Source organism: Homo sapiens, chromosome 7 (assembly GCF_000001405.40).
Source record: "Homo sapiens chromosome 7, GRCh38.p14 Primary Assembly".
NCBI classification, from domain to species: Eukaryota; Metazoa; Chordata; class Mammalia; order Primates; family Hominidae; genus Homo; species Homo sapiens.
The window spans coordinates 76,287,615-76,304,600 of record NC_000007.14 but is presented as its reverse complement, the minus strand read 5'-3'; the positions used below and the strand labels follow the sequence as shown (position 1 = coordinate 76,304,600).

General features: G+C 54.1%; 1 protein-coding gene across 1 annotated transcript, besides 7 other annotated features; it reads right to left on the bottom strand.

Annotated features, from left to right (window-relative positions):
* Positions 309 to 1,928, bottom strand: HSPB1 (heat shock protein family B (small) member 1). Its single transcript, NM_001540.5, has 3 exons — positions 1,525 to 1,928; positions 736 to 799; positions 309 to 617 (listed from the first exon to the last, which is right to left on the bottom strand). The coding sequence occupies exons 1-3, from the start codon at positions 1,886 to 1,888 to the stop codon at positions 428 to 430; spliced, it is 618 nt and encodes a 205-aa protein (NP_001531.1). The 5' UTR covers positions 1,889 to 1,928; the 3' UTR covers positions 309 to 427.
* Positions 4,895 to 5,189: a silencer, noted in NCBI's record as "tiled region #11180; K562 Repressive non-DNase unmatched - State 23:Low". NCBI's record gives its function as "represses a minimal TATA promoter and a strong SV40 promoter by Sharpr-MPRA in K562 cells {active_cell/tissue: K562}" and the evidence as "EXISTENCE:reporter gene assay evidence [ECO:0000049][PMID:27701403]".
* Positions 9,808 to 9,947: an enhancer, noted in NCBI's record as "active region_26197". NCBI's record gives its function as "activates an Ori minimal core promoter by ATAC-STARR-seq in GM12878 lymphoblastoid cells {active_cell/tissue: GM12878}" and the evidence as "EXISTENCE:reporter gene assay evidence [ECO:0000049][PMID:35858748]".
* Positions 12,298 to 12,813: an enhancer, noted in NCBI's record as "H3K27ac-H3K4me1 hESC enhancer chr7:75921105-75921620 (GRCh37/hg19 assembly coordinates)". NCBI's record gives its function as "activates a minimal SCP1, AML or CMV promoter by ChIP-STARR-seq in naive H9 embryonic stem cells {active_cell/tissue: H9 hESC(naive)}" and the evidence as "EXISTENCE:reporter gene assay evidence [ECO:0000049][PMID:30033119]".
* Positions 12,298 to 13,205: a biological region, named in NCBI's record as "CRISPRi-validated cis-regulatory element chr7.2946". NCBI's record gives its function as "regulatory_interactions: HSPB1".
* Positions 12,437 to 13,205: a transcriptional cis regulatory region, noted in NCBI's record as "candidate enhancer chr7.2946 targeted for multiplex CRISPR interference". NCBI's record gives its function as "positively regulates HSPB1 gene expression in K562 cells {active_cell/tissue: K562}" and the evidence as "EXISTENCE:mutant phenotype evidence [ECO:0000015][PMID:30612741]".
* Positions 12,880 to 13,189: an enhancer, noted in NCBI's record as "active region_26196". NCBI's record gives its function as "activates an Ori minimal core promoter by ATAC-STARR-seq in GM12878 lymphoblastoid cells {active_cell/tissue: GM12878}" and the evidence as "EXISTENCE:reporter gene assay evidence [ECO:0000049][PMID:35858748]".
* Positions 13,846 to 14,361: an enhancer, noted in NCBI's record as "H3K27ac-H3K4me1 hESC enhancer chr7:75919557-75920072 (GRCh37/hg19 assembly coordinates)". NCBI's record gives its function as "activates a minimal SCP1, AML or CMV promoter by ChIP-STARR-seq in naive H9 embryonic stem cells {active_cell/tissue: H9 hESC(naive)}" and the evidence as "EXISTENCE:reporter gene assay evidence [ECO:0000049][PMID:30033119]".

Sequence of the window (16,986 nt, the reverse complement as noted above, 5' to 3'; positions counted from 1 at the left end):
TACCACCCTGCCTAATTTTTATTTTTTAGAGACAGTCTTACTATGTTGTCCAGGCTGGTCTAGAACTCTTGGCTTCAAGCACTCCTCCTGCTTCAACCCCCCAAAGTGCTGGGATTGTAGGTATGAGCCACTGCGCCCGGCCCTAAGACCTCTGTCTTTATGGATGTGAGTCAGCCTGTGTCCAGCAACCTACACCAGTGTACCCACATGGCCCAGCACGGGCCTGAGCAAAGATGACTCCTGAAAGCCAGCAAATGGCAGGTGCCTGAGGCTTCCTTCCACAAACACCAGGGCCTGGGCCAGTGACAGGTGGTTGCTTTGAACTTTATTTGAGAAAAACAGAAGATAAATGTATCAAAAGAACACACAGGTGGCGGGGGAGGCACAGCCAGTGGCGGCAGCAGGGGTGGGCATCCGGGCTAAGGCTTTACTTGGCGGCAGTCTCATCGGATTTTGCAGCTTCTGGGCCCCCAAGCTGGGCCCGCGACTCGAAGGTGACTGGGATGGTGATCTCGTTGGACTGCGTGGCTAGCTTGGGCATGGGGGCCTCCACGGTCAGTGTGCCCTCAGGGGACAGGGAGGAGGAAACTTGGGTGGGGTCCACACCGGGGGGCAGCCTGGACGTGCAGAGAGGAAAGGCAAGCGTTACATTACACACCGGGTGGGTCCCTGTGCCCTCTTCCCTGACCCCACCCCCACGCCACCCACCCACCCCGACCTGGCGCCAGGACTCACGTGTATTTCCGCGTGAAGCACCGGGAGATGTAGCCATGCTCGTCCTGCCGCTCCTCGTGCTTGCCTTTGGGGGGAAGAGGGAAATCAGACTGCGGGGGAGGGGACTGCCTTTCGGCCCCGCTAGGCCAGAGGCCCCACCTCCTGCTTGGAAGCAGCCAGGACTGCAGGCTGGTAGGGATTAACAGAGGGGGTTGGGGATGGGGGCGTGCCCGCCGGTCTGGGCTCTCAGAAACTTCCGGAAAGTTCTTCGATTCAGAGTTTTGGGAGGAACGGAGCAGGGCGCGGAGCTGGGGAGTGAGCAGTACGCAGGCGCACTTGGAGCCGCGCACACGCCCACTCAGCGGCTAGAAACTGGCACCGCGCCAGGGAACTCCCCGCTTATCTGGGGATGGGGCTGTGGGTGGGAAGGGGACTCTGTAGAAAAGCGCATTTTCTCTCTTCATCGATGATCTTTAAAAAAATTTTTGTTTGCTTTTTTTTTGTAATGGCGCGGGGTCGGGGCGGGGGGGCGCGTCTCGCTATGTTGCCCAGGCTAGTCTTGAACTCCTGGCCTCAAGCGATCCTCCCGTCTCGGCCTCCCAAAGCGCTGGGATTACAGAGCAGAAAGCGCCCTTAGAAGCGACCCGCACTCCCAATTCCTGAGCAAGGGAATCAGGAGTCCTGTTTTTCCCGGTGCTGGGCCAACGTTTAACTCCCCAGGCCCCCGGGACCCCCGTTTCAACCGCACGCCCCCGGCCCTGCCCGCCCTGCTAGCCTCCTCCTCTCCCCTGCAGGAGCAGGGGGGCTCACCGGTGATCTCCACCACGCCATCCTTGGTCTTGACCGTCAGCTCGTCCGGGGCGAAGTGGTTGACATCCAGGGACACGCGCCAGCGGTCCGCAGTGTGCCGGATCTCCGAGACCCCGCTGCTGAGTTGCCGGCTGAGCGCGCGGCTGTAGGCGGGCGCGGCCACTGCGGGGCTCTCGATGGCGGCGGGGGGCAGGGGGCGCACGTAGCCTGGCCAGCTGCTGCCGCCTAACCACTGCGACCACTCCTCCGGCAGCCGGGGCAGCCCGAAGGCCTGGTCGAAGAGGCGGCTATGCGGGTACCAGTCGCGGAAGGGGTCCCAGCTGGGGCCCCGCAGGAGCGAGAAGGGGACGCGGCGCTCGGTCATGCTGGCTGACTCTGCTCTGGACGTCTGCTCAGAAAAGTGCGGGGCGCTGGGCTCGGCTGCGCTTTTATGCTCCTCCAGTCGGGTATTTTTAGCAGGCGGTGTTTGAGGTCTCTATTAATGGCAATGACCCGTTTGAGGGCCGCCCCTCCCCATGCACTCCTCCCCCAGCGTTCAGGGGCCGTGGGCGGGGCGAAGAGGGTTCAGCCCTCATCTGGAACCTTCTCTCGTTAAGGAAAGCAAATGAATTCGAGAGCGCGACGCTGGAGCCGTGCCACGGCAGGGCACTCGCCGGCCCTGGTGCTTAAGCGTTGCTGGCTGTGGCCCGTGGCCAGGGCCGTCCTTCTGTTAAGGAGGACAGAGCCAGACAGGTTGGGTTGGGGCATACAACTGAGAAGTGGCAGAGGCAGGATTGGAACCACACGCGTGTGAGATAGAATGTGATAAAAGGAGTCTGGTGCTTGAGCCCAGGAGTTGAGGCTGCAGTGAGCTATGATCTCACCACTGCACTCCAGCCTAGGCAACAGATCAAAGTCTTGTCTCTCAAAAAAATTTTAAAAAGGGGCTGGGTGCATGGCTCATGCCTGTAATCTCAGCACTTTGGGAGGCCAAGGCAGAAGGGTCCCTTGAGGCTAGGAGTTTGAGACCAGTCTGGGCAACATAGTGAGACCCTACTTCTACCAAAAAATATTTAAAAATTAGCTGGGCATGGTGGTGCATGCCTGTGGCCCCAGCTACTCCAGAGGCTGAAGCAGGAGGATCCTTTGAACCCCGGTGAGTAGAGGCTGTGGTGAGCTGGATTGCACCACTGCACTTCAGCCTGGGCTACAGAGCAAAACCCTGTCTCAAAATAAGTAAATGAATAAATACAAATACAAAAATAAAGCAGTCTGGGCTGGGCGTGGTGGCTCACGCCTGTAATCCCAGCACTTTGGGAGACCGAGGTGGGAGGATCACCAGAGGTCAGGAGTTTGAGACCAGCCTGGCCAACATGGTGAAACCCCATCTCTACTAAAAATACAAAAATTAGCTGGGTGTGGTGGCGGGCGCCTGTAATCGCAGCTGCTGGGGAGGCTGAGGCAGGAGAATTGCTTGAACCCAGAAGGCAGAGGTTGCAGTGAGCCGAGATCTCACCACTGTACTCCAGCCTGGGTGACAGAGTGAGACTCCATCTCAAAAAAAAAAAAAGAAAAAAGAAAAAAGCAATCTAGTAATCTGGTGTGGTTGTTAGGCGTGTGGACTTTGAAGCCAGACTGCCTGAATTCACATCTTTGTTCCATCACTAAGCAGATGAACTTGTGCAAGTTAGATTCTTTGTGCCTCAGTTTCCCCATCTGGAAAATAGAGATGATAATGATGGTAACAGTCATGCATTGCATAAAGATGTGTAAGTCAGCAAGGGACAGCAAATATGAAGGTGGTCCCATAAAATTATATTACTGGCTGGGTGCAGTGGCTGACATCTGTAATCTTAGCACTTTGGGAGGCTGATGTGGGAGGATTACTTGAAGCCAGAAGGCTGGAACAAGCCTGGGCAACACAGTGAGACCCCATCTCTACTAAAATTCAGAACAAATTAGCCAGGCATGGTGGCGTGGACCTGTAGTCCCAGATACTCAGGAGGCTGAGGTGGGAGGAGCACTTGAGCCAAGGAGGTCGAGGCTGCAGTGAGCCTGATGGTGCCACTGCACTCCAGTCCGCATGACAGAACAAGACCCTGTCTCAAAACAAACAAACAAAAACAATTACCGTGTTTTTACTGTACATCTTCTATGTTTTATTTATTTATTTATTTATTTATTTTGAGATGGAGTCTCCCTCTGTCGCCCAGGCTGGAGTGCAGTGGCCTGATCTAGGCTCACTCCAACCTCTACCTCCCAGGTTCAAGTGATTCTTCTGCCTCAGCCTCCTGAGTAGCTGGGACTACAGGCAAGTGCCGCGACACTGGCTAATTTTTGTATTTTTAGTACAGATGGGGTTTCACCATGTTCGCCAGGCTGGTCTTGAACTCCTGACCTCAAGTAATCCACCCGCCTGGGCCTCCCAAAGTGCTAGGATTACAGGCGTGAGCCACCGCGCCTGGCCATCTTCTATCTTTAGAAACACTAATACTTACCCTCATGTTGCAGCTGCCTTCAATATTTGGTGCAGTCATATGCTGTAGAGGTTTGTAGCCTAGGAGCAGTAGGCTAGACCATATGGCTTAGGTGTGTAGTAGGCTAGACCATCTAGGTTTGTGTAAGTCCACTCTGAGATGTTCCCACAATGATGAAATTGCCTAACAAGGAATTTGTTGAATGTGTCTGTTATTAAGTGACTCATGACTGTAATGGGTTGGCCTGAGGATTTGGTGACCTAATGCAGGTGATGACTTTGGCCCGGAGCCTGGTACATCATAATTATTGTTACCTGCCTGGGATTGAAGAGAGGGAAAAGGAAGGAGAATACATGGGGTTTGGCCATTTTCCCCCTTCCCCTAACAGCGCAGCTGGCCCAGATCAGAACCTCCATGGCACAGTGCTGAGAGGGGCCAGGAGGAAGATTACTGTCACATCTCCTACTATATGTATCTTTCCTTAAGAAGCACTGGTTGGCCGGGCGTGGTGGCTCCCACCTGTAATCCCAGCACTTTGAGAGTCTGAGGCAGACTTATTGCCTGGGTTCAGGAGTTCAAGACCAGCCTGGCCAACATGCCGAAACCCCGTGTCTGCCAAAAATACAAAAAATTAGCCAGGTGTGATGGGTGCCTGTAATCCCGGCTACTGGGGAAGCTGAGGCACGAGGATCATTCCAGGAGGCAGAGGTTGCGGGGAGCTGAGATCGCGCCACTGCACTCCAGCCTCGGTGACAGAACGAGACTCTGTCTCAAACAAAAAAGAAAAAACAAAAAAGAAAAAGAAACACTGGCCAGGAACCTCAAATGCCGCAAACTTGAATTAGTCTGGACTTCCTGTGTCATTCTGGGCAAATCCCCTCCTTTCTCTAGGCCTCAGTTTCCCTTTCTGCAGATTTTGATGCCCACATCACAGAGGGAGAGGGGAGCTCCAAGTAGTAGAGTCTGCACAGAAGTGCTTAGAGCCTGGAGCTTGCCCCTTGACCCTACCTCATCCATCTAAACACCAATGGGATCCTGGCTCCTATCTCCCAGCTTGGAGGGAGGGTGCTGCCCTAGGCTCCTGCCACAACCCTGACATTCCCTCTTTCCTGTCTTTGTAGGCATGGCCATTCCAGCCTTCCTTCTCCCCTGACTTAGGTCCCTGTTTTAGTTGTTGTTGTTTTTTTTTTTTTTGTCTTTTTTTTTTTTTTTTTTTTGAGCCAGAGTCTCACTCTATCACTCAGGCTGGAGTGCAGTGGCGCAATCTCAGCTCACTGCAACCTCCGCCTCCTGGGTTCAAGCGATCCTCCTGCCTCAGACTCCCAAGTGGCTGGGATTACAGGCATGTGCCACCATACCCGGCTAATTTCTGTATTTTTAGTAGAAACGGGGTTTCGCCATGTTGGTCTCAAACTCCTGACCTCAAGTGAGCCGCCTGCCTTGGCCTCCCAAAGTGCTGGGATTACAGGCATGAGCCACCACACCCGGCTAATTTTTGTATTTTTAGTAGAAACAGGGTTTCGCCATGTTGGTCTCAAACTCCTGACCTCAAGTCAGCCACCTGTCTCGGCCTCCCAAAGTGCTGGGATTACAGGTGTGAGCCACCGCACCCGGCCCTGTTATCCCTGGTTTTTAGACAAGGAAACTGCTGTGCACAGAGATTAAATGGCTTTCTGCTGTCTCCGGTAAAGTGCTCTCAGAGCCAACCTCCTGCCTCTCTAGTACCCAGGGCCTCCCACTTCTTCTGTCCCACTGTACTTGCTGTCCCTATCCTGGGACTGAGGCTCCACTCCTCCTACTTCTATGGGGAGCCAAGGCCACTGAAGTCTTGCCCTGCCCAGGCCCAGAATCGGGGCAGACTCCAGGCCACTCACCTTGATGAGCTGGGGAAGCAGCAAGTCCTCATGCCTTCTCTGAGCCTCAGTTTCCTTTTTGAGAGAGAGCTCATAAATGCCTTTCTCTCTCTCCTTTTTTTTTTTTTTTTTTGTTGAGACAGAGTCTCGCTGTGTTGCCCAGGCTGGAGTGCAGTGGAGTGATCATAGCTCATTGCAGTCTTGACCTCCTGGGCTCAAGTGATTCTTCTGCTTCAGCCTCCTGAGTCACTGGGACTACAGATGTGTGCCACCACACTTGGCTAATTTTTAAATTTTTTGTAGAGACAGGTGTCGCACCATGTTGCCCAGACTAGTCTTGAACTCCTGGCCCCAAGAGATCTTTCTGCCTAGGCCTCCCAAAGCACTGGGATCACAGGCGTGAGCCACTGCGCCCGACCTAGATGCCTTTCTTTCTTTCTTTTTTTTTTTGAGACGGAGTCTCACTCTGTCACCCAGGCTGGAGTGCAGTGGTGCGATCTTGGCTCACTGCAAGCTCCGCCTCCCGGGTTCACGCCATTCTCCTGCCTCAGCCTCCAGAGTAGCTGGGACTACAGGCGCCCACCACCACGCCCGGCTAATTTTTTGTATTGTTTTTTTTTTTTTTTTAGTAGAGACAGGGTTTCACTGTGTTAGTCAGGATGGTCTTGATCTCCTGGCCTCGTGATCCACCTGCCTCGCCTCCCAGAGTGCTGGGATTACAGGTGTGAGCCACCGGCCCTAGATGCCTTTCTGTCTTACCCACCTGCTCCCCATCAGGGAAGAGCTGGGGCTGGACCATGAATCTGAGATCACTCCTGGAAAGGCCTCTGAACTCCTGGGGCTCTCGGGAGCCAATGGTGGGAGGCAGACAGGACCCCTGCCTTCTACCTCACCTCCCTGGCTGGGTCATTGTCATGAGCCCAGTGGGTCTCATTTGGGAGCTCCTGGTTGACACCCCATGGGACAGCATCAGAAAGCCCCAGGTTTTTGCTCCCCAGTGCTCCCAGCCCCACCCATCCCCAGCTGTATAAAGTCGAGGTGAGGTCAGGAGCCAGGGAGGGCCCTCATCTGCCTCTGCCTGCTCACCTTGGCCCAGACGGGAGCTGGGGGTGCCCCACCCCAGAGGGAGCTGTCAGGTGTGGTTATAAATGCTTCCAGGTGTGGCTCTATCAGGCCCAGCCATGCTCTGGATGGGAGCTGCCAGCCCTTTGTAGACACAAGCTCCCTTCATCTTGCCTGAAACCAGGACGGACTGGATCTATTCCTGCTGCCTGAGAGATTGTGCAACTCAAGGCACCAAACCCACACACTCTGCTCACTCCCTCGGAATTCACGTTCATCTTCAAGGGCTCAGTTTTGTTTTTTTTGAGATGGAGTTTTGCTCTGTTGCGCCGGCTGGAGTGCAGTGGCACAATCTCAGCTCACTACAACCTCTGCTTCCCAGGTTCAAGCAATTCTCCTGCCTCCTGAGTAGGTGGGACTACGGGCGTGCACCACCACGGGCTGGGCGCGGTGGCTAACAGCTGTAATCCCAACACGTTGGGAGGCCGAAGTGGGTGGATTGCTTGAGGTCAGGAGTTCAAGACCAGCCTGGCTAAGGGCTCAGTTCTTGAGGGACGACTTTTAGATCACCCACAAGGGAGAGGAGATGGGTGGTTTCTGGCAGCATGGGGGTGAGGTGGGTGGTAGGGCAGAAACTGGGTTTTGGGGACAGATAGGGCTGGGCTTGAATGTGGGTGCTGCTGTCCTGGTGACCACTCTGAGCCCACATGTCCCTATTTGCAAAGTAGAGCTAGCAACGCCCCTGCCCGTCTGACAGCATTGTGGTCAGTTTCAAGTGCGTGAATGTGTGTAAAGTGCTCGGTGCACAGTAAGCGCTCACGGTGACTGCGAGGGCCTTTAATTGTGGATACTGAGCCTTAGAATAATCAGAATTACCCAGTTCTATGTGGTTTTTTTGTTTTTGTTTTTTTTGGTTGGTTTGTTTTTGAGTCAGAGTCTTGCTCTGTCACCCAGGCTGGAGTGCAATGGTGTGATCTTGGCTCACTGCAACCTCCACCTCCTAGGTTCAAGCAATTCTCCTTCCTCAGCCTCCTGAGTAGCTGCGATTACAGGCACCTGCCACCACGCCCAGCTAGTTTTTGTATTTTTAGTAGAGATGGGGTTTCACCATATTGGCCAGGCTGTTCTCTTAGCCAGGCTGGTCTCAAACTCCTGACCTCGTGATCCACCCACCTTGGCCTCCCAAAGTGCTGGGATTACAGACATGAGCCACCATGCCCGGACATATGTGCTTTATAGAGCGTCAAAGTATCCTATCAGAGTCACTTTTTCTTCCTTTCCTTTTTTATTTATTTATTTTTTGAGACAGAGTCTCGCTCTGTCGCCAGGCTGGAGTGCAGTGGCACCATCTCAGCTCACTGTAACCTCCACCTCCTGGGTTCAAGCGATTCTCCTGCCTCAGCCTCCCGCCACCATGCCCGGCTATTTTTTGTATTTTTAGTAGAGATGGGGTTTCACCATGTTGGCCAGGCTGTTCTCAAACTCCTGACCTCAAATGATCCACCTGAGCCTCCCAAAGTGCTGGGATTACAGGCGTGAGCCACCGCGCCCAACTTCCTTTTTTTTTTTTTTCTTTTAATAGATAGGGTCCCCACTCTGTTGCCCAGGCTGGAGTGCAGTGATGCAATCATAACCCACTGTAGCCTCAACGTTCCGGGCTCACGTGATCCTCCCTGCTCAGCCTCCTGAGTAGGTGGGACTGCAGGCACATGCCACCACACCCAGCCAATTTTACAATTTTTTGTAGAGAGGGGGTCTCACTATGTTACTCAGGCTGGTCTTGAACATCTGGCCTCAAGCAATCCTCCTTAGTCTCCTGACTACCTGGGCTTACAGGCATGAGCCAAGGCATCCAGCTAGGAGTCCCATTTATTGAGATGAGAAAACTGAGGGTCAGAATGGCCCCAGGGTCACAAAGCTGGTAAGGGTCTCAGACCTCCCTATTCTCCATCCAGCAAGGGGGAGACTTCCCAGACAGTTCAGAGAGGGCTGTGGGCTTCCAGGGCACAGGGGCAGGAGTGCATGTCTTCCAGCCTAACCGGGTGCCTTTTTTCTAGGAGGCTGCACTCTGCCCTCCCCACTGGGCAACCGAGCTGGGCAAGGGGGCCAGGGCTGGGTGGCGGCTCCCACATGCCCCCCTGCCCAGCTGTTCTCTGTCAGTCTGTGGCTGGCTCCAGCATCCAGAGCACTGAGATGCCAGGGGTGGTTTTTCTGGGATAGAGAAGAAAATGCAGGCTGGGCGCAGTGGCTCACGCCTGTAATCCCAGTACTTTGGGAGGCCGAGACGGGTGGATCATGAAGTCAGGAGTTCGAGGCCAGCGTGACCAACAGGGTGAAACCCCGTCTTTACTAAAAATACAAAAATTAGCCAGGCGTGGTGGCATGTGCCTGTAATCCCAGCTACTCAGGAGGCTGAGGCAGGAGAATCACTTGAACCCAGGAGGTGGAGGTTGCAGTGAGCCAAGATCGTGCCACTGCACTCCAGCCTGGGCAACAGAGCAAGACTCTGTCTCAAAAAAAAAAAAAAAAAAAAAAAAAAAAAAGGAAAATTCTAGCCCCAGGGATTTCCCAGAAGCCACCGTGGAGTGGGGTTGGGGGAGGGTGAGAGGGCAGGTCATGGCCCTTCCCCTTCTTCATTGCCCACTGCAAGGTCCAGGGAGTCCTTCATTGGACGGTCCCTCCCCTCATCTCTAGCCCCCAAATGTGGGGTGCTCAGCAGCAGCCCCAAGACTAACCCCCTTCCTTTCCCTGCGCCCAAGGCCTTGACCATGCTGGCCACGCCCTCTGCAGGCCTCTGCCAACTGCGGCTGAACCAGCCCCGCCTTCACTGGCCCCGCCTCAGAGAAAGTGCCAGAGTCTCCAGGCAGCTGCCCGAGCTCCCTGGAGAGGCCTGACAGCTGATGGATGACGCCAGCCCCCGGGCCTGCTGGGAATTGAAAATATGGACGACAGTAATCAGAGCGCCGGGGGTGGGGTAGAGGGGACGCTGGGTCTTTCTGGAAACGTCTAGACACTGTCTCTCTGGGAGTCCGCTTCTAAAAACCCACCTCCAGCCTGCCCCACTCCCTGGACCTCTGGTTTCTGGCTGGACTGGGAGGGGGCCATGCCACCCCCATCACCACTGAAGCGGGGGCCACAGAGGGACCAGGTGGGAGGGCTGGGGATCTGTCCTCCCGCCCCTCCCGCTCTGGCTGTCTAGCTCTGGAGTCTGGGGACCTGGATGTCTTTGACTGCAGCCTTGGCCAAGGGCCGGCATCCGTGACTCATTTTCTTGATCTGTACAATGAAACCATTGGACTGGATGTTCTAAGTCTCCTTCCAGGGCCGTGAATCAACAGTTTCTCCTCCATTCTTCCCCTCCCCTCCAGGTCCCCTGCATTACCCACTCCACAGCCTAAATGCTGCAGGACAGGGCTGTGCACATGGGAAGGGGTGACAAAGATCCCCCGTTTGACCAAACTTTACTCAGACTCTGGAACCTCCTAAGCCCCTCTGCATAAATCCAGTCTTCCCCACCCCCCCGCCGACAGAGTCTCGCTCTGTTGCCCAGGCTGGAGTGCAATGGCGCAATCTCAGCTCACTGCAACCTCTGACTCCTGGGTTCAAGCGATTCTCCTGCCTCACTTAGCCTCCCGAGTAGCTGGGATTACAGGCATGAGCCACCATGCCTGGCTAAGTTTGTATTTTTAGTAGAGATGGGGGTTCACCATGTTGGTCAGGCTGGTCTTGAACTCCTGACCTCAGGTGATCCACCCGCCTTGGCCTCCCAATGTGCTGGGATTACAGGCGTGAGCCACTGCGCCCTGTTCGTAAATCCAGTTTTTGCAAGAAACCTGTTTAGCAAGAGCCGCTCACCCTTGAGATCTGATCACCCTCCAATCAGGTTCCTCATCCTCTACCATCTCCCAGGTGGTGTCTGATCTCCCTGGCTGGCCTTCAGCTAGAATCCTGCTAGGTCAGTTGAGCCAGAACCCCCCAGTATTTCCTCTTAGTAATTTTCCATCCACTCACGCCACCCTGCTCCTGGGCCATAAATTCTCCCTTGCCCGTGCTCTCTTCAGAGTTGAGCCCAATCTCTCTTCCTCCACTGCACAATCCCATTGCAGTCTTGCCTAGATATCTCTTGTGATGATCCTGAATAAAATGTTCCTGCTCGTGCTTTAACGAGTATCATAGAATCATTTTTTAAACAGTGGAGGTAGGAGTGAGGGGAGGACAGGAGACACTCACCAGGCCTGAGATGGGAACGTTCCCTCCCTGTTGGCCAGCTAAGCCTGGATATGACCTGCGCTGCTTTAAATCAGAGTGAGATGGAGAAAAGGGGTGAATGAGGCAGGAGTCCTCCTTAAGCCTGCGGGAGAGTGGGATTCCTATCCCGAGATAGATTTAGATTTCCCCCTTAAGAGAGCCCTAGAAAGTGGGTAGGTGGAGGGGGAGGTAGGAGACCCCCAGGCATCTGGGTCTCTAAGATGCCTCCTTGGGTAGGTGGAGGGGGAGGTAGGAGACCCCCAGGCATCTGGGTCTCTAAGATGCCTCCTTGGGTGAGTGGAGGGGGGCCTGGAGGCCAGCAGGTGCCTGGTGATGGGGCCAGTTTGCTGAGTATTCCCTCAACTGAGAGAGGAAGGCAGGAGGCCCGGGGTCTTCTAGAACGTCTCAAAAAAAGGCAGGCAGGCCGCACGAGGTGGCTCATGCCTGTAATCCCAGCGCTTTGGGAGGCTGAGGCAGGTGGATTGCTTGAGGCCAGGAGTTTGAGACCAGCCTGGCCAACATGGTGAAACCCTGTTCCTACTAAAAATACAAAAATTAGGCCAGGCGCAGTGGCTCACGCCTGTAATCCCAGCACTTTGGGAGGCTGAGGTGGGCAGATCACCTGAGGTCAGGGGTTCGAGACCAGCCTGGCCAACATGGTGAAATCCCATCTCTACTAAAAATACAAAAATTAGCCAGGTGTGGTGGTGCACACCTGTAATCTCAGCTACTCAGGAGACTGAGGCAGGAGAGTCACTTTAACCCGGGAGGTGGAGGTTGCAGTGAGCCGAGATCGTGCCATTGCACTCCAGCCTGGCGACAAGAGTGAAACTCCATCTCAAAAGAAAAAAAAAAACCTACAAAAATTAGCCGGGCATGGTGGTGCAAACCCAAAGTCCCAGCTCTTAGGAGGCTGAAGCTTGAGAATTGCTTGAACCTGGGAGGTGGGGGTTGTAGTGAGCTGAGATTGCACCACTCACTGCACTCCAGCCCGGGTGACACAACGAGACTCTGTCTCAAAAAAAAAAAAAAAAAAGTTGGGGGTGGTGAGGGGATGGGGGACAGGCTGGGACAGCCAAGCTGGGCAGGTGCCCTGTGGCCTGTCACCCTGTCTGGGGCTGTAGGAAACTGATTAAGGAGAAAGGGGAAAATACAGTTGTGAAAACAGGAAACCGGAAAGCTCTGTCCGGCCTCCTGGCTGCTGTATGTGTTGGAAGGAAAAACGTGGTATGGAGTGGGGGCTCCCCTGGGCCCTATCTGAAGAGAGAGAGACCACGAGAGGACCAAGTTTACCCCAAACCAGAAGAGTGCGCCCCAGGCTCAGGACCCTCTGGCGAGAAGTGCCCACATCCTGGGGACGGTCTTCTGCCCGCTGCTCTGGGACTGGAGTTTCCTGTTTTCCTGCCGGCCGTCCTGGTCCTATTCTTCCCTTTCCCCAGGGTATAGAGCAGAGTTCAGTCGGCTGACTGAGTTCAGACGGGGTGGGGCGGGGGGGGGGCTGGTATGCTCCCCACCCCTTCCCCACGAAGCCAGGGCAGGCATGGAGGACGAAGGCTTGGGGCTTCCAGGCTGGGACGAGCCCTGGCCCAGGCATCTCTCTGCTCCAAGCCTGTTGGTCCTGGCTGCATTTTTTCCCTTACTCTCTGTCGCCCTCTAGTGTCGGCTTTCCGCCACCACGCCTCGCCTTTGGTGCCCAGGCCTCCCCCAAAGTTTCTGCAACCGTTCCTCTGCGGGTTCCTTCCTTCACTCGATGACTCATTCAACAAACATTTCAAAGTGGCCTACGTGGGCGATGCAGAGACAAGGAAGACATGTCCTGGCCTCCAGAAGCTCAGAGCTTTGGGGAGAGATAAACATGCTAGCAAATAAATCACTGGAAGAAGAGACTGGGCCCTAAACACAGGCTCCCAGAGAACCCCAGAGACAGGAGTAGTCACGGCAGCTGCACATCAGGAAGGCCGCATGGAGGAGGAGGTGGCTGAGCTGGGCCTTGGCCTGTGAGCTCACCTGAACCCGTGGAGGCAGAGAGGGCATGAGGGGCGCCAGCTGGGCTCGGGGTATTGGAATCAAGGGCAGCGATGGGAGATAAGGTGGGAGGGCGCCCTGGGAGGAGCCAAGGATGGCACGTGCCAGGTGGAGTCACTCAGAAGGCCTTCCAAGGCCTGTGAGCTGGTGGATGTGGCCTCAGGAGGCAGGTTCTGCATGGCAAGGAGTTCTGTCTCATTTATTCAGTACTGTGTCCTCAGAGCCAGCCACTCTGCAGGGGACATAGGAATTGTTCAATAAGTATTTGTGGAATGAGTGAATGGGTGTTCAGATCTGCATGTTAGAAATAATGGGAGTGGTCAGGCATGGTGGTTCATGCCTGGAATCCCAGTGCTTTGGGAGACTGAGGCAGGAGGATCGCTCTAGGCCAGGAGTGTGAGACCAGCCTGGGCAACATAGCGAGATCCCGTCTGTACAAAAAATAATGGCCGGGTGCAGTGGCTCATGCCTGTAATCCCAGCACTTTGGGAGGTCGAGGTGGGTGGATCACTTGAAGTCAGGAGTTTGAGACCAGCCTGGCCAACATGGTGAAACCTCATCTCTACTAAAAACACAAAAACTAGCTGGGTGTGGTGGTGCATGCCTATAATCCCAGCTACTCAGGAGGCTGAAGCAGGAGAATTGCTTGAACCCAGGAGGCGAAGGTTGCAGTGAGCCGAGATTGTGCCACTGCACTCCAGCCTGGGTGACAGAGCGAGACTCTGTCTCAAAACAAAAACAAGAAAACAAAAAAGCAAAAATTAACGGCGTAGTGGAGTGCACTCGTAGTCCCAGCTACTCAGGAGGCTGAGGCAGGAAGATCTCTTGAGACCAGGAGATCAAGGCTGCAGTGAGCCATAATGGTGCCACTGCACTCTAGCCTGAGCGACAGAGTGAGACCCTGTCGCAAAAAAAAAAAAAAAAAAAAAAAGGAAAGAAAAGAAAAAAGCAGGAGGGATTGGAGAAGGCAATGAGGCAGGCTGGCCAGTGAGGAGGCCGGTAGGGCCAGGTGCTGAGGTGGGGTGGGAAGGAAGCAATTGCAATGGCTGGGAGCAGCCTGGCTGTGGCGTGCAGAAGGCAGTCAGGCTGGGCAGTGACGGAATGGGATGGGAGGTTGGGGGACGGAGCAGCCAGACAGCAGAGTCCCTAGGCCCAGTGCCATGCTCAGTGTGAGACAGGCTGAGTTGCAGGACAACCTCAACTGTGCTGCCACTCAGATGTGCAGATGTGTTTCACGCATCTCTAGCACAGGGCCAAGTCTGCTTCCCCGTAGCCCAGCCCCTTGCCTTGAGGCGTTTTGTTGAACTTGTTAGAAAGGGTTACAGAGATCACGAGGGCTTCTTTTTGTTATCTTTTTTTCTTTCTTTCTTTGTGTGTGTGTGTGTGTGTGTGTGAGAGAGAGAGAGAGAGAGAGAGAGAGAGGAGAGAGAGAGAGACGGAGTTTCACTCTTATTGCCCAGGCTGGAATGCAATGGCAGGATCTCGGCTCACTGCAACCTCTGCCTTCCAGGTTCAGGTGATTCTCCTGCCTCAGCCTCCAGAGTGGCTGGGATTACAGGCGCCCACCACCACGCCTGTCTAATTTTTTGTATTTTTAGTAGAGACGGGGTTTCACCATGTTGGCCATTCTGGTCTCAAGTGAGCCACTTGCCTCGACCCCCCAAAGGCCTGGGATTACAGGCGTGAGCCACCGCACCTGGCCAATCACCAGGGCTTCTGTGAACAGCTTCCGTGGATAGGAAACAGAGCCACTGGTCAGGTGCCCCTTCTAGTTTTGGGGAAAAGAAGCTGGAATGGGGTCATGTCATGACACAGCCCCAGCTCTGGGGACTGGGCCAAGGACACCTATGTCATGGCCCACACAGAAGTGGGAGCAGGGGCCACCTCAGCCGCACCCTCATTGGAGGTGGACCAGGGTTCTTAACCGGTGGGACGCTAAAAGCCTTCAGAGTGAGTATGTGTGTGATAGATCCAGTGTTACAAGCCACACTGCAGGCATGCGCACATTCTTCTGGGAGGGTTCTCAGCCTTCATCAGATTCTCGAAGAAGACCTGATTCAAAACAAGCTTAAAACCCACCACTCTAAGAGAGAGAAATGACGGAGAAGAAGGGGAAGGAGGAGAGAGAGGCTAGAGGCAAGAAAGAGGGGGAGGAGGAGGAATTGTGTATTTCTTTAGATCTAATAAAAGAAAGAAATACAGGCCAGGAGCGGTGGCTCATGCTTGTAATCTCAGCACTTTGGGAGGATTGCTTGAGCTCAGAAGTTCGAGACCAGCCTGGGCAACATGGTGAAACCCTGTCTCTACCAAAAAAAAAATACAAAAATTAGCTGGGTATGGTGGTGCATACCTGTAGTCCCAACTATTAGGGAGGCTGAGGTAGGAGGATTGCTTGAGCCCAGGAGGTCAAGGCTACAGTGAATGGAGATCGTGTCACTGCACTCCAGCCTGGGCAACTGAGTGAGACCTGGTCTCCAAGTTTGTTTTTTTTTTTTTGAGACAGAGTCTCGCTCTGACACCTAGGCTGGAGTGCAGTGGTGTGATCTTAGCTCACTGCAATCTCCATCTCCTGGGTTCTAGCGATTCTCCTGCCTCAGCCTCCCAAGTAGCTGGGATTACAGGCATGCACCACCACGCCCAGCTAATTTTTGTATTTTTAGTAGAGACGGGGTTTCTCCATGTTGGTCAGGCTGGTCTTGAACTTCTGACCTCATGATCTGCCCGCCTTGGCCTCCCAAAGTGCTGTGATTACAGGCCAGGAGCCACTGAGCCTGGCCCTCACATTTTTAATAAATAAATAAATAAAAAGGAAATTAACTTCTGTAAACCACTCTTTCCAGGCACCCTGCTAGTCCCTAGCCAGAGGCAGGCACGGGGTTTTCCCTAAGTGGCCACCATTTCTTTCCTTTCTTTTCTCTTTCTTTTCTTTGTTTTTTTTCTTTCTTTCCTTTGTTTTTTTGTTTTTTTGTTTTTTTTTTTGAGACGGAGTCTCGCTCTGTTGCCCAGGCTGGAGTGCAGTGGTGCAATCTCAGCTCACTGCAAGCTCCGCCTCCCGGGTTCACGCCGTTCTCCTGCCTCAGCCTCCCTAGTAGCTGGGACTACAGGTGCCTGCCATTATGCCCAGCTAATTTTTTGTATTTTTAGTAGAGATGGGTTTTCACCATGTTAGCCAGGACGGTCTTGATCTCCTGACCTCGTGATCCGCCTGCCTCGGCCTCCCAAAGTGCTGGGATTACAGGGGTGAGCCACCGCGCCTGGCCTCTTTTCTTTTCTTTCCTTCCTTCCTTTCCTTTTTCTTTCCTTCCTCTTCTTTCTTTTCTTTCTTTTTTGAGACAGAGTCTCACTCTGTTGCCCAGGCAGGAGTACAGTGGCTCGATCTCGGCTCACTGCAACCTTTGCCTCCCGGGTTCAAGCGATTCTCCTGCCTCAGCCTCCTGAGTACCTGGGATTATAGGTGCCCACCACCACACTCGGCTAATTTTTGTATTTTCAGTAGAGACGGGGTTTCACCATGTTGGTCAGGCTGGTCTCGAACTCCTGACCTCAGGTGATCCGTCCGCCTCAGCCTCCCAAAGTGCTGGGATTACAGGCGCGAGCCACCGCGCCCGGCTGTGGCCACCTTTTAAATGCTCACTCTATGGCAGTCACAGTCACTGAGCTGAGGACTGTCAGAATATTTCCTGCCCACCTCATCTCAGCTGTGTGTCACATGGCTGGGAGGCACAGGAGCCAGGATGCATGCCTGCATGCTGCCTCAGGCTGTGTCCCAACCACTCTGTGACACCCCACCATGTTGTGAGTGTCCCCTGTGCCTATGT

What these genes read in the sequence shown, in the direction of transcription:
- HSPB1 (NM_001540.5), bottom strand. Translation starts at nt 1,888, where the DNA reads ATGACCGAGCGCCGCGTCCCCTTCTCGCTCCTGCGGGGCCCCAGCTGG. An exon ending in TGGCGTGGTGGAGATCACCG is followed by an intron (nt 800 to 1,524) that starts GTGAGCCCCCCT and finishes TTCCCCCCAAAG; the next exon opens with GCAAGCACGAGGAGCGGCAG. An exon ending in TGCTTCACGCGGAAATACAC is followed by an intron (nt 618 to 735) that starts GTGAGTCCTGGC and finishes CTGCACGTCCAG; the next exon opens with GCTGCCCCCCGGTGTGGACC.